This window comes from Homo sapiens, chromosome 11 (assembly GCF_000001405.40).
Source record: "Homo sapiens chromosome 11, GRCh38.p14 Primary Assembly".
NCBI lineage: Eukaryota > Metazoa > Chordata > Mammalia > Primates > Hominidae > Homo > Homo sapiens.
Genome location: NC_000011.10, coordinates 117,581,141 through 117,594,222, shown reverse-complemented (window position 1 = coordinate 117,594,222; position 13,082 = coordinate 117,581,141). Strand labels below are relative to the sequence as shown.

The following is a 13,082-nucleotide window of genomic DNA, read 5'->3' as shown; positions in this document are numbered from 1 at the left end:
GGATAAACTCTCTCTGAAATGGAGCCTGATCCAGGACCCAATATCTGTGCACCTCCCTTGGAATTCCTTGAGGTTTATACTGAGTGCCCCTCTTTCCTTTTTCTGTCCTTTGTCAAGACTGAGAAAGGCTGGTGTTTACTTCCCTAGATAACCATGCCAGGTGAGACCCCACTCCCTTTTAGAAGGGCCACTTAGAAATGCAGTGAGTTCAGCCCAGTGTGGTGGCTCACACCTGTAATCCCAGCACTTTGGAAGGCTGAGGCGGGCGGATCACGAGGTCAGGAGATCGAGACCATCCTGGCTAACACGGTGAAACACCGTCTCTACTAAAAATACAAAAAAAATTAGCCAGGTGTGGTGGCGGGCGCCTGTAGTCCCATCTACTTGGGAAGCTGAGGCAGGAGACTGGCATGAACCCAGGAGGCAGAGCTTGCAGTGAGCCGAGATCACGCCACTGCACTCTAGCCTGGGAAACAGAGCAAGACTCCATCTCAAAAAAAAAAAAAAAAAACAAGAAATATAGTGAGTTCAATACTATGGTTCAAGGAAAGAGGGAGCTCCACATCCCTGTGCCAGGCAGAAACAGGCGGCTCTGTTCCTTGGCTTGTGCCAGGGCCCCAAGCCCTGCCCAGCCCAGTCTTTCCTGATAAATGAAGTTGCAGTGCTGTCCCGGCCTCTGGGCCTGGGATTTGTAGAACCCTATACACAGGCCCCGGTGGCAGACAGGCAGCCTGTCATCTCTTCTTTCCAGGTGACATGGGAGCGGCTTTGGTTCTCACATTTCATTTGTCAGGCTTTAATGAGGGAGGCCGCACAGCAGCCCTGAGGTACCACCTGAGTGACCCAGGCCCCCAGGCCCCAGCGAGGTGCACGGGGAGGCAGCTCTGTGGCTGCTTTGGGGAATCTGCCATTTTGCAAGAGGTCAGGGTGGGCGGGAGCAGGGGAGAAAGCAGAGATTTTGCTGCAGGGCAGAAGGCATCCATTTTCTTCTGCACTGAGCCTGTGAGTCTGTGACCCTGAAGCATCGCTGTGTGTGGGCACCGCCGAGGGCAGGACACGTGGGCCCAGGGGATGGAGGAGCTGGGCCTATGCCCCTCACTGCCCCCTTTCTTCAGTAGTGAGGAACAGGGACAGCCTCTTGTTTAGTGCCCCGTAAGTGCCAGGAACTGTGCCAGATGCTTGAGATGTCTTTTGCTTAATCTTCACAGCCACCCTCTGGGGTAAGTATCATTAGCCCCATTTGTGGGAGAGGATACTGAGCCTGGGGGAGGTGACTTACACATGGCAGTGGTGTTGGGGTTCACACCCCGTGCTGCCTGAGGTCAAAGCCCTTCCTCCTGAGCCCCACTGGGGCAGCGTTCAGTGCAGCAGCACGGAGCCTGGTCTCTGGAAGCAGACTGCCCGGGTGCCAGGTCTGCACCCATCATGTATGGGCTGGGTGACCTTGCAGCATGGAATCACCTCTGTATGCCTCAGCTTTCCCCCATCTGAAAAATGAGGCCAATGATGGTACTTACTGCATGGGTTATTTAAGGGATTATGTTATTGAATATGTGTAAATCGCTTAGAACATTGCCCAGCATGTAACGAAGGGTGTGTAACTATTAGCTCAATACAATGACTATGGACCATCGGTGAGCCTAGCGCTGCCTCAGCTTCCAGAGTGAGAGGTCTTCACATTAGATATCAGGGGTTATGGGGCCTTTAGCAGCCCTGTGTCAGACCCCACAGGAGACACCAAAGAAAGAAAAGAAACAGAGCCAGCCCTCAGGGGGCTTCCAGGCAAATGGAAGAGCCTGGACATGCATGCACACATACACACACACACGGACACAGATGTGGAGAATGCTTAAGACGCTGAGTGAAGACAGTGTGAGCTCAATGGGAGGCAGACTGGCGACACTGCAATGGCTCCATCCAAGCTCCTAGGCAGTCCTTGCCGAGCCGGCCTCCAGGAGGAGGTGCACTGTGAGTTACGGAGTGGAGGGATGATGGGCTAGGATGAGCAGAGGGGTGTAAGATGACAAAACCAGGAGCCCAGAGCTGCGGAGAATCCAGACTCTGACTACTGCGGGCCCCATTGACAAGTGTCCTAGGGCCCCTGCCCTACCTGATGAGCACAGCTTTCCACCCTAGCCCCAGGATTCTCCTGCTCCTCACCCTCCTCCCCATAGACATGATTGACTCAGATCAGGGGCCTGTCACCCAACCTGGCCCAGGTTGTCCCTGCCAAGGCCTGTGGTCCTTTCAAGATGCCCCCTTTTCCCAGCCCTGCCTCCCTTTGTTTAGAACTTGCAGGAAACCCACTTGGCACCAAGCACAGAACCCCACATGCCTGTAGAGCCTGGGCTGACCTGGTGAGGGGCCGGGATGCACCTGGGGACAGAGAGTCCCAAGCAAAGAAGGGATCCCTGAAGCTGCATCCCTGGCAAGTGCTCCTCCCTCGTTCCAGAATGGGCAGTGCACGGGGACCCTGGGGCATCTGTGACAGAAGCATGGGAAAGAGGGACGTAGATGCTGGCACCTGAGCCCGTTAAAACCCCATCAGAGCGCCGGGATAATTTATGAAGAGGACTCCGAAGGAATGCAAAGTGAGGGAGATGCAGAGAATGCCACCCAGGTGCATAAATCTCTGAGGCAGAAGCACTGGTTCCTACTTCTCCACGTCCCCAGACAGAGAATATTACAAATCGCGGCTCGCATAGCACTCGCAGATTCCTGCAGCTCTGATACAATACAGTAAATGCATTGTGACAGTAGCTGAGTGGATTCTATGTGCTGAACAGATGTCTCCTAGCAGACGAGGTTTCTGTGACTATATCACATTGTGCTTTCATCAATTATACATCACTCCTCATTACAGAGGCAGGCGCTCAGGACGGGATGCAGGGGCTAAGTGAGAAACCCGGCCAGACCAAGAAGCAGAAGGCAAACTTTGGGGGTGCTAGGGTGCCCACTGGGTTATGGGGGTGTTGGAACCTGCTCCTCGCCCCAGAGACCCCATATTACCCCCCTCACCCTGCCACTTCCTAACTGTGCTGCTCTCTGTATGTGAATAAATACATAAATGAATTTTTAAAAGTTCTAAATACCCCCTCTTCTACACTAGCTGAACTAGGATCATTGATTTCCATTCTCAAAATAATTATTACAAATTATTTCAAATTGTGTAGAACAATGAACCTCATATACCCATCACTCATATTTCACAACTATCAAGATGTGTCTACACCAGCTTCATCACTCCCCCTGTTTTGTGCTGAAGTGTTTAAAGTGAATCCTAGGCCTCTGGTGATTTCTCTCCTACATACACTCAGTACGAATCTTTAGGAGCAGTATGCCCATTTTCCGATATAACTGCATGATTATTGTCACTGCTTACAAAATTGACAATACTTCCTTGTCATCATCCCATTCTCAGTCTGCATTTGAGGGTCTCTGTGGCTGATGACCCCTTCCTAGCCATCACCCTGGGACATACCCCACTGCACAGTGGGTCCCAGCAGAGCCTGACCAGCAGTCCTTTCTGCTGCAGTTCTTTAGTCCTGGTCCCCAGACGCCATCCAGAACTCAGGTAATATTCTGGCCTCAGTCCTGTGCTCCATCTCGAGATGACAGCAGGGACCTGGCTCTGAGCAGGAATGTATTGCAGACCCCTGGAAGGACGGTGTGGGAGGAACAGGCAGTTCTGGCAGGCACTGGGCGTGGGGCAGTCAGTAATGACAAAAATAACTTACAGGTGTCTGGCTGCTGCTTTCTGGTGCAGACCAGTGTGTCCTAAAATGTGGCATGCATCCCTCATGGTGTGCCAGGCAATTCTAGGTGGTGCATGGACAAGTTTTTTTTTTTTTTTTTAAGTTATGTATTTAAGCCAGGCATAGTGGCACACATCTGTAGTCCTAGCTACTTGGGAGGCTGAGGTGGGAGGATTGTTTGAGCCCAGGAAGTCAAGGCCGCAGTGAGTCTTGATCACACCACTGCATTCCAGCCTGGGCAACAGAGCAAGGCTCTTTTAAAAAATCAAATAACATAATGCATTAAATCTTCATTTTTAAAAAAAGTGATCTAGCCTCTCAAGCCCATGGGTTCATGGATATCATTGCTGCAGGTGAGGACAGCCAAAAAAGTTTGGTGATTTAAGGTAGATTTTGAAAAACATATTAAATAAATAACAATGCAGATAGTATTTGGATAAGGCAAAAAATACCTAGTGAGACCCCAAACCCTGAAGTTTAGGAGCTCTGATGTGATAGAGGGAATAGAAGATTTGAAACAAGGTCATCTGAATTTCAACCCAAGCTCTGTTCATTAGCAGCTGGGTAATCACTTAACCTCTTAGGGCCTCACTTTTTCTCCTGTACCATGGGGCTATCTATGCCTGTCCACCTTGCCTACCGCACCTCATTGATGTCAAACTCAAAGGAGCAAGAAAGTGTTTCTAAACTGAGAAACCTTCCAGAATGACAAGTTTTAAGGTACACTAAGAACTTCCCCGTTTGAAAGCTTTCCGTACCTCATGTTCTTTGCCCAATCCCAGGGGCTCTTTGCAACTCACAACCTGGATTCAGTCGCTCTGGTTAGTTCTTAATGCTGCAGGTTGTTAAGCCTGGCCATTGTAATAAGCATCGATTATCATTATCAACATTATTATATTTACCTAAGATCCCTGGTGCATACGAAGACGCAGAGAGCTCTCCTGCATCATTTCCTTTACAAGAACCATTTGCCGTGTCTAAGAACCATTTCTAGAATTAATTTGCCTACTGCAAACAATTTATATTAATGAAAACACATTGAGTTGGGGGAGGTGGGAGGGGGGTGTTCCGCCTGCAGAGTGTGTTTGCTTTGTTCACCTAGAATAAAAAGAGAGTTTGAGCATGTGTTTGTTTTGAATAAATAAATAGCTGCGTGACAGGAGGACGGGCTGCCCGTGCATCGAATCCAACCGGGTCTAGCAGCCATCTCCAAGGCGCACTGCAGAGTCGGCAGGAGCCCGCTCCGGTCGCTTGCATTTTAATATGTGGTGATGTCTGTCATCTGCTTCTCTCTATTTACAGGCCCCCTCTTAGGCTTGCATTTGACCATGGTGGAGGAAGAGGCCACCAGTCCCATCTGAGGCTTGGAGTAAGCTAACATAGGGGCCTCTGTGCCTCCTGACCCCAATGCTTCCCTGCAACAGCCTCCGAAACCCACGCCTTGTTTTTCTTTGTAGCAGCCTCTCCCCCTGTGTGTCCTTATTTTATTTGGGTCGATGAGGCTCATTTTCCCCTCTGCAAATGGCAGCAGGGTCCCCTGGTCTCAGGCGCTGAATCAGACTGATGCTCCTTCTTGTCAGAGGGAAAGGGAAAGGGGAAGAAGAGGAAGAGAAAAGGGCAGGAAGGCAGGGAGGGGTGGCTTAGAGGAGGGGGACAGGATCCCCACACCCGCCCCTGGCCATGCCTCAGCCTCCCCTCCTAGTTGTTGACATCAGTGTTTGGAACTCAGTCTGCCCCACTGGCCCCACTGAATCCCTCTTGCTTGTTTGGATACAAGCATCTCACATGTTTAGTGCTTCACAGTCCCTGATGACAGCACACTCGAGAGCTCTCCTCAGCAGCAGAGTGTGGTGGCCCGGCAAGGCTACGGGCCATGAAGGCTCAGGCTGGGCTCGCTTGTATCCGGGATGCCTGTGTGTTTGCATGATAACCTACAAAACGCTTCACACCCCTCAATGCACCGGCTCAGGGGACTGCAGGGGAGGGGACTTTGTCAACATGGCTTTGTTTGGGAGCTGCTACCCGTGTTATCCCTGGTTAATTTGCCCCTACAAGGTGCACAGGCTACCTAAGGCCAGATGGGAAATCAAAAGTGATTGGAATGGGCACTGGGTGCTCAAGGAGCAGGGGGACTCCTCTGTCCCAGAGCGAAAGGCCAGGCTGCAGCACTAGCGAGTGATGGAGGAGTCATGGGCACGGCTGGCAGACAGGCAGCCCCCGACCCCCGAGCTAGGGTGGTTAAAAAAAAATGGACCCTGGTGCCAGATGCCTGGGCCTCCTTCAGGCTCTGTCCTCTATTAGCTATATGACCTCAGTGCCTCCCTCACTGTAAAATCGGGGTGACAGTGGAACCTAACCCAGGGAATTGTCAGAGGATTCCATGAACTGATATCACCAACATGCTTAGAATGGTACCTGGCACATTGAAATGCCACATCAGTCTTTGTCAAAGAAACACCATGTACCATTTGCTGCCAGTGGTCGTGGGTTATGCTGAGGTTTAAAGTGATGGCATCACCAAATCCCTGGATGTTAGACCTGGAGATCCTCCAGTGCCGAGCAGAGAGGGGCTGTGATTTCACTCAGGACCACAGGAAAGCTCAGAACACAGCTCTCCCCACACCCCTGGGAGGGAGCTCACTCTGCAGCTGATGTTCTCTCAGGGTGGAGATAAGGGACAAAGAGGAGGCATGGAGAACAGAGAATAGCTTGGATCCCAAAAACCAAGGGATTTGTAAGTATTTCTAAGTCACACTTTCCATCCCTTTCCTTTTCCACTCGCAGAGGGTAACAGCTCTGAGCCCATCCCCTGCTCCTCAGTTTATCATCTCAGTGATGGCTATGCAAGGCAGCGGGGGCTCCAGGCAGCAGAGGAGTCATGAACAACATCGGCCCGACTCATCTCTTCTGGGCAGTCCCCGCGTCTGGAGTCTTGGGCTCCCTAGAGGAGATAGGGGAGAGGGAAATGTCACCTGCTTTCACAGCCTGGACCAGGATGACAGAGAACACTGGTGTCCCCAGACCCACCATGGGGGTCAGGGGGCCAGGGACAGCGTGATGGGGAGGGTAGGAGGAGGGCAGACTGCAGCATCCGAGCCCTGCGGCTGCCACCTTCTAACTGGTTGACCTTGTGCAGGTCACTCACCTTTTCCCACCCTCTGTGTCTTCCACTACAATATAGGAATCATAATAGTATCTAAATCGTGGGGGGGGGTTGGAAAGAATCGAATGAGCTCATAATCACAACACCCTGTTCGTTGTCCATGTATCAGCTATTTCAGTTACTAGGAGGAGTGAGGGTGGTGGTCAAAAGTCTTGACCTAAGCAGCCATCTCTGAGGGGGCAGCAGCAATAAGAGTGACCCCTGGCAAAAGTGGAGAGCCTTCTCCCTGGGGTCCTGCGTGATGTGGCCACCTGCCTAAAGAACTCCAGAGAAGAGCTGACGTGTTGGTATGTCTGTCCTTGAGGACAGGATCAGATGGGACTGTGGGAGGTGATGGAGGAGCATCCTGGGGGGCCTCACCCTCTGGGCATCACTCCACTCCAGAAAAGCCAACTTGGCCTCAGCGCTGTGCAGAGCAAGCCAGATCTAGGCTTAGTCTTTGAAAACTAACATGCTGGACTCAGCAATCACTAACACCCTGGGAGAGAAGTGGTTCTTCCTCCAGGGATCTGCCTCAGGCAATGTCCCCAGAGCTTAAGGAATCTTTGTATTGCCCAGTTCGTGGAAGGGCTGAGTCCTGAAGGCTCTCCCTGCCCTTATAAACCCATCATGGAAGCAGGCATGAATTCTCCAAGCCTTCCTTGAACTTCCCCAGCCCCTCACTACTGGGCCCGCTGTCATCCTCCTGCTTCCCGCCTCCTGTCTAGATCTGATCCTGCCAGCCGAGTCGAACAGGAGGAACTGGATAACTTGAGAACTGAGAACAGAGAGAGCTGGGTCAAGGTCTCAGCTCTGTGACCTTGGGCAGCTTCTTGGTGTCAAAGAACAGGCTGTCCTAAACCTAGGAAGGGGAAGTTAAGAAGCAGATTGGTCTCTCCAGTGGGAAACTGCAAAGGGGTAGGGGTCCTCCTACACCAAGATGGCTTCCTTGTGGCACACTTCAAAATGCAGAAGGATCAGCTGTTACATGCGCCTTGGAGGCGGTGCCCCCAGCCTCCCCTCCCACCCTCCCATAGAGTGCAAGCCATGTTCTATTGCTCACGGCTGGAGGAGGGGGTTAAGATGGAAAGCAGATGTAGAGAATACAGCCCTAGGACCAGAGTCAAGAGACCTGCATTCTAGTCCCAGCTCTGCCCCCAGCTGTGTGATCTTGGAAAGTCACTTCTGCTCCCTGGCCTATTTCCTAGATCTGCAAAAGGAGGGATTGGTCCAGGGTATCCTCGGATTCCCTCATTCTAGGGTCCTGGAAGTGGCAGATCCCATCAAGGGCCCTCATGCCTTTAGCAGCAAACATTTATGGAGGGCCCCCTGCAACAGGCATGGTGCTGGATGCTGCAGATCCCGGGTGAATCAGAGACCATGCTGCCCTCAGGGTCCTCAGCAGGACAGTCAGTGCAAGGCGCATGGTATCAACAAAAATACTGTGAGAGCATGGAAAGGTGCGATTCATTCTGACAGGAAAATGGCCAAGAAGTTCTCCACGACATTTCAGCGGCGCCTCCAGGAGTGAGTGGGTCCCTGGCCCTGGCGACTCCTCCTCTCTGTGCTCCCAGACAGAGGCACCAGTTCTCCCACCCTCCTCAGCCAGCTACATCCTGCATTGCAGTGAGTGAGGATCAACAGGGGTTCCATTAGCAAGCAATTGGGTCACACCCCCATCGTCCTGATGGCATCCCTTAAATACCAGTGCTGTTCTGATTTATACATGCTTACAGATATATTTGTAGGAACTGAAACTGCTCATTTAAAATAGCAGATAAGCCAGGTGTGGTGGCTCACACCTGTAATCCCAGCACTTCGGAGGCCGAGGTGGGCGGATCACAAGGTCAGGAGAGGGAGACCACCCAGGCCAACATGTGAAAGCCTATCTCTATTAAATATACAAAAGTTAGCTGGGCGTGGTGGTGGGCGCCTGTAGTCCCAGCTACTCAGGAGGCTGAGGCAAGAGAATTGCTTGAACCCGGGAGGCTGGGGTTGCAGTGAGCTGAGATCATGCCACTGCACTCCAGCCTGGTGACAGAGCAAGACTCCATCTCAAAAAAAAAGAAAAAAAATAGCAGAAAACCCCCCAAATCCTTTCCATTTGATTTGAAGTGCACTTTGGGGGACAGAAAGTATGAATTCCTAATTCCATTTTGCTGAGTATCAAAATGAGGCGAGTCACGTGGAAGGATTGAATGACTATGAAGAGAGGAGGCCCTGAATAATCCTGGGAGATAATATTTACAAGGATAATCTGGACAGAGATCGTCAAAATCAGACTGTAGCAAAGACTCAGGCCATTCACTACTAACTGGGAATATTTTCGATGCCTTCAAGTCATGTTATAATCATAAGAGCTAATATGTATTGGACACTTGTCCTGTGCCAAGTATCATTCTGAGTACTTTCCTTGTATGATCCTATTGATCTCCCCAACAACTCTGTGAACTAGGTGGGTACTCCTGTTAAGCCATTTTACAGAAAAGGAGACTGAGTCACTTGCCCAGAGCCCATGCTCTATGCCACTATATTGCAGTTGAATATGCCACATCCTCTCTGTTCAAATGTAGCAAGCAACGTTCACAGCCGTTCAAAACCAACCCAAGTGTCCACTTCAACTTGGCACCTTAAAAAACAAAACCAACCAAAGTGGCTGAACACTTCAGGTGATGCACATGCCTGATTTTTCCTGACTTGGAACACAGAACAATTAGCAAAGCTGCCGGCAGCTACCCAGGCGCTGAGAACTTTGCTCTGAGGACTCAAAGGTCAAGACAGTAGTGATCTAGTTTTGTGCCGAGCAAGTGTTGATGCCAGACATCCTTGAAGGACTCTGGATTTGGGCAAACCTGGTGCCATGCAACTCCTTGATACAGGCCTGAATGCAGACAAACAAGCTTGCTTTGAGTTTTGCTTTGGGATTGGTTTTTTCCTCCTAAACATCCCATCTTGGGTAGACACTGGCTCCTGAGAAGCTGATAGGAAGGACTGTATCCCGGTGGTGGGGCTGGGTGGAGGCAGATGGGGAATCAGACCAAGAATCCCAGTGTCTGAGGATCTGGCACAAAAATGGAGCTAGAACAAAGACATCGTCCCTGCCCCTTGGGGCTAGAGCCCAAAGTTAGAGACCGGGAGATGAGGCAAGCATGAGTCAGTCATCTGAATGCAAGGGGACAGAAGCAGAAAAGAATTTAAATGTGTTTCTATTTTCTTAGTTCCCCGAGGATCCCTTAATATTGCACAGGGGGGTAGGAGAGGAGGGGGTGGGGAGTAGGAAAATCTCCACAAAGCAGACTTGGCCTTTGGCCGTGAGGAGATGACCCCCTGCAGGCCGTGTACAGGGGTACCAGGAAGCCTGCCCCCACAACTCCAAATGTCAGAGCTTCTTTTCTTTGGCCGAAAGCATTGTGCCTGTTAAAATGCAAATTTCTGGAGAAGAGCAACGCTAAAGTGAATCAGTCTTTCACACCAGGGTCTGATGGGGTCCATGATCACAAGGAATGTGGGAGTTGGAAAGGACTTCTGACATTCGTGGATTCAGCCTCCTCCCATTCTGTGGATGAAGATGCAGAGAGGGCAGGACAATGACCCAGGTCACAAAGCTAGGCGGGGATGGAGCCAGGCTCTCTCCAGGCCTAATCTGGTCAAGCGTGTCAGATGCTTCTGCTCCCCAAGGGCTCCGGGGCTGATGGGGGGAGGGCAGACCTGCACAGGGAGAGGGGTGGCTAGCAATGCAGAACGGAGGGTAATGGCGCTTGTGGCAGGGACTGGAGAAGAGAGAGCCGCGTAGGCCGGGCTAATCAGGGAAGGCATCCCCAAGGAGGTGGGGCTGCAGCTGAGCCTAGAAGGCTGGCAGGCGTTCAGATTTGGATGGGCAGGGGATTCTTGCGGAGCGAGATGAGGTCAGACCACGAAGCCTAAACTGTCAGATTTAGACATTGGCTAGTGTTCTATAGGTGAAGGGGAGCTGAGGAAGGATCTTGAGCAGAGGGGTACAAGCCATGTTTAAGACCTGCCTGGCAGAGGAGTGTGCAGGGAGGACTTGGAAGGGGGAACACCAGAGGCAAGGGGTCTTCAGTGCAAGTGGCTGGTAAGGGAAGCTGCACTGACAATGGGTAGGGAAGAAGAGGCCAGGGGAGAGGGTCCCAGACCTGTCCAGGCCCCGCCCATCAGCATGCGGAGGGGAAAGGCCATGGTTTCTTGAACTAGATAACCACCTGGTTACTGGGTGACCTTGCATAAATGTCTTCACCTCTCTGGGCCTCAATGTTCTCATCTCTAAAATGGGAATGCTAGTGCTACAATAATAATAATAATAATAATAATAATATCCCTGTCTCCTATGCCACATTGTGAGAATAAAATGGGATCATGTTATGAAAACACTTTGAAAGCATGAAGTGCTGTTAGCATTCTTTTGTCCTCTTTCCCTCTTGGAAATCAATACTGAAATCATTCCATGTTTCTCCCACTCAGGCTTCTTGTGCTTCAACTTTATTTACTTCAGGGCACAGCCTGAGAACTGAGGGGTCAATATCCCTACGCAGACACCACAGCCCGTGGACTGGGGCACACAGTAGGAGCACTCAGGCCCAGCCTTCCCCGGAGCTGGAGGGGCCCGGCTTCCTGGCAGGGCCCTGCGGATATTCCCCTCTCCCTTACAGCCTGGCACTCTCTGGTTTGCACTTGGCAGGCCTGAGGGTCCCCTTCACTGTCCATCCAAGCATGAGTAACTCTCTCTCTTTCTCCCCCATGCTTACCCAGGCATCCTTAGGCATAAGCATTTAATTTATTTATATTTATGAAACCTCCAACTAGGTCAATGCACTTTTATGCACATCTTGACAATTATTGATACTGTGAGCGGAAGAAGAGGACCATGTGGGCTGGAGGAACCGGCTTATCCCTCTCTCAACCAGCCAAGATCCTTGGAGACCCAGTAAGGGGAAAGTGCCTTTTTGGTGTGCTAGTTGCTGAGTTGGTATCCAAGCCTGCCTTCCCCAGCCACAGCTCAGCACTTCTCCAAAGGAATAGAGAACAGTTTTGTGGGTTCAAACCATACCACATCCCAGGTCCCTCTGGACTTGTAAATGGCTACAGAGCCCAACATCCACAAAGCAGCAGCTGAAATAAAATTAGACACCAGGTCCAGAAGAAACCAGGCTGATTCTGACAATAAATGAAACTTAACATTTCTTTTCTGCGAGTCCCAGATACCCTTCTTGTCCCCTGAACTCATTCCTGTGTCCTCAAATGCATGTCCCTTACTTTCAGAGAATGCGCATCCGATGATCATGGGATCTCTGGCCCTGTGAGAACTGTGGTGTGCTCCTTACAGGAAGCTGTGCCTAGGGATCTGGTATGGGTCTTTAAATATAGGCAGAAGTGAATTTTGAGGAGATAGGATGAGATCAGGGACAAGAAGCATTTCTGGAAATGAAGGTAGAATCTGTGTAAACAATTGAGTAAATTTGCTGATATTGGTTTCTAGAAGGGCGTGCATGGACTTTGGGTTAGAAACTCTGAGCTTAAATCGTGGCTTCATCACTTACCAGCTGCATGACCTTAATCAAGTTAACATTTCTAAGCCTCAGTTGCTTCATCTATAAAACGGGGATAATAATAGTCCCTGACTCAGAGGTGTCTTGAGAATGAGAAGAGATAACATATGCATGTAAAAGTAACGCATGGATCTTACCTGTGTTCATCACAATGCTTAATGTTCAGATGCATTGTACTAAGTGAAAGAAGCCAGACTTGAATGGCTACTCACTGTATCATTTCATAAATATAGTGTTCTAGAAAAGCCAAAACTGAAGGTAAAGGAAACAGATCAGTGGTTGCCAGGAGCTGGGGTTGGGGAGAGGGGCCGACAACAGGGACACGAAGGGGTTTGGCAGGGGATGGAACTGTTCTGTATCTTGATTGCGGTGGTGGTATGTCAGACCTTTCAGAATTGTACACTAAAATGGGTGAGATTTACTATATGCAAATTCTATCTCAATAAATCTGACCCCTCCATAAAAAAGACATAATACATTCATGTAAAAGCCTTAATGCATGGTGTTTACTAGATAATTACACTTTGATAGTGAGCAGGTGATCCATGGTAACTTATATTATTATCATTACCGTGGGGAGACCCTTCCTGCCTCAAAGTGCACAGGCACGGCAATTTTTCA

The 13,082-nt window shown here is 50.4% G+C and overlaps 1 protein-coding gene across 5 annotated transcripts in view, besides 1 other annotated feature; it reads left to right on the top strand.

Annotated features, from left to right (window-relative positions):
* Positions 1-13,082, top strand: part of DSCAML1 (DS cell adhesion molecule like 1) — a 389,743-nt gene that overhangs the window by 223,292 nt on the left and 153,369 nt on the right. The window lies entirely within an intron of this gene.
* Positions 278-1,069: an enhancer, noted in NCBI's record as "H3K4me1 hESC enhancer chr11:117463869-117464660 (GRCh37/hg19 assembly coordinates)". NCBI's record gives its function as "activates a minimal SCP1, AML or CMV promoter by ChIP-STARR-seq in naive H9 embryonic stem cells {active_cell/tissue: H9 hESC(naive)}" and the evidence as "EXISTENCE:reporter gene assay evidence [ECO:0000049][PMID:30033119]".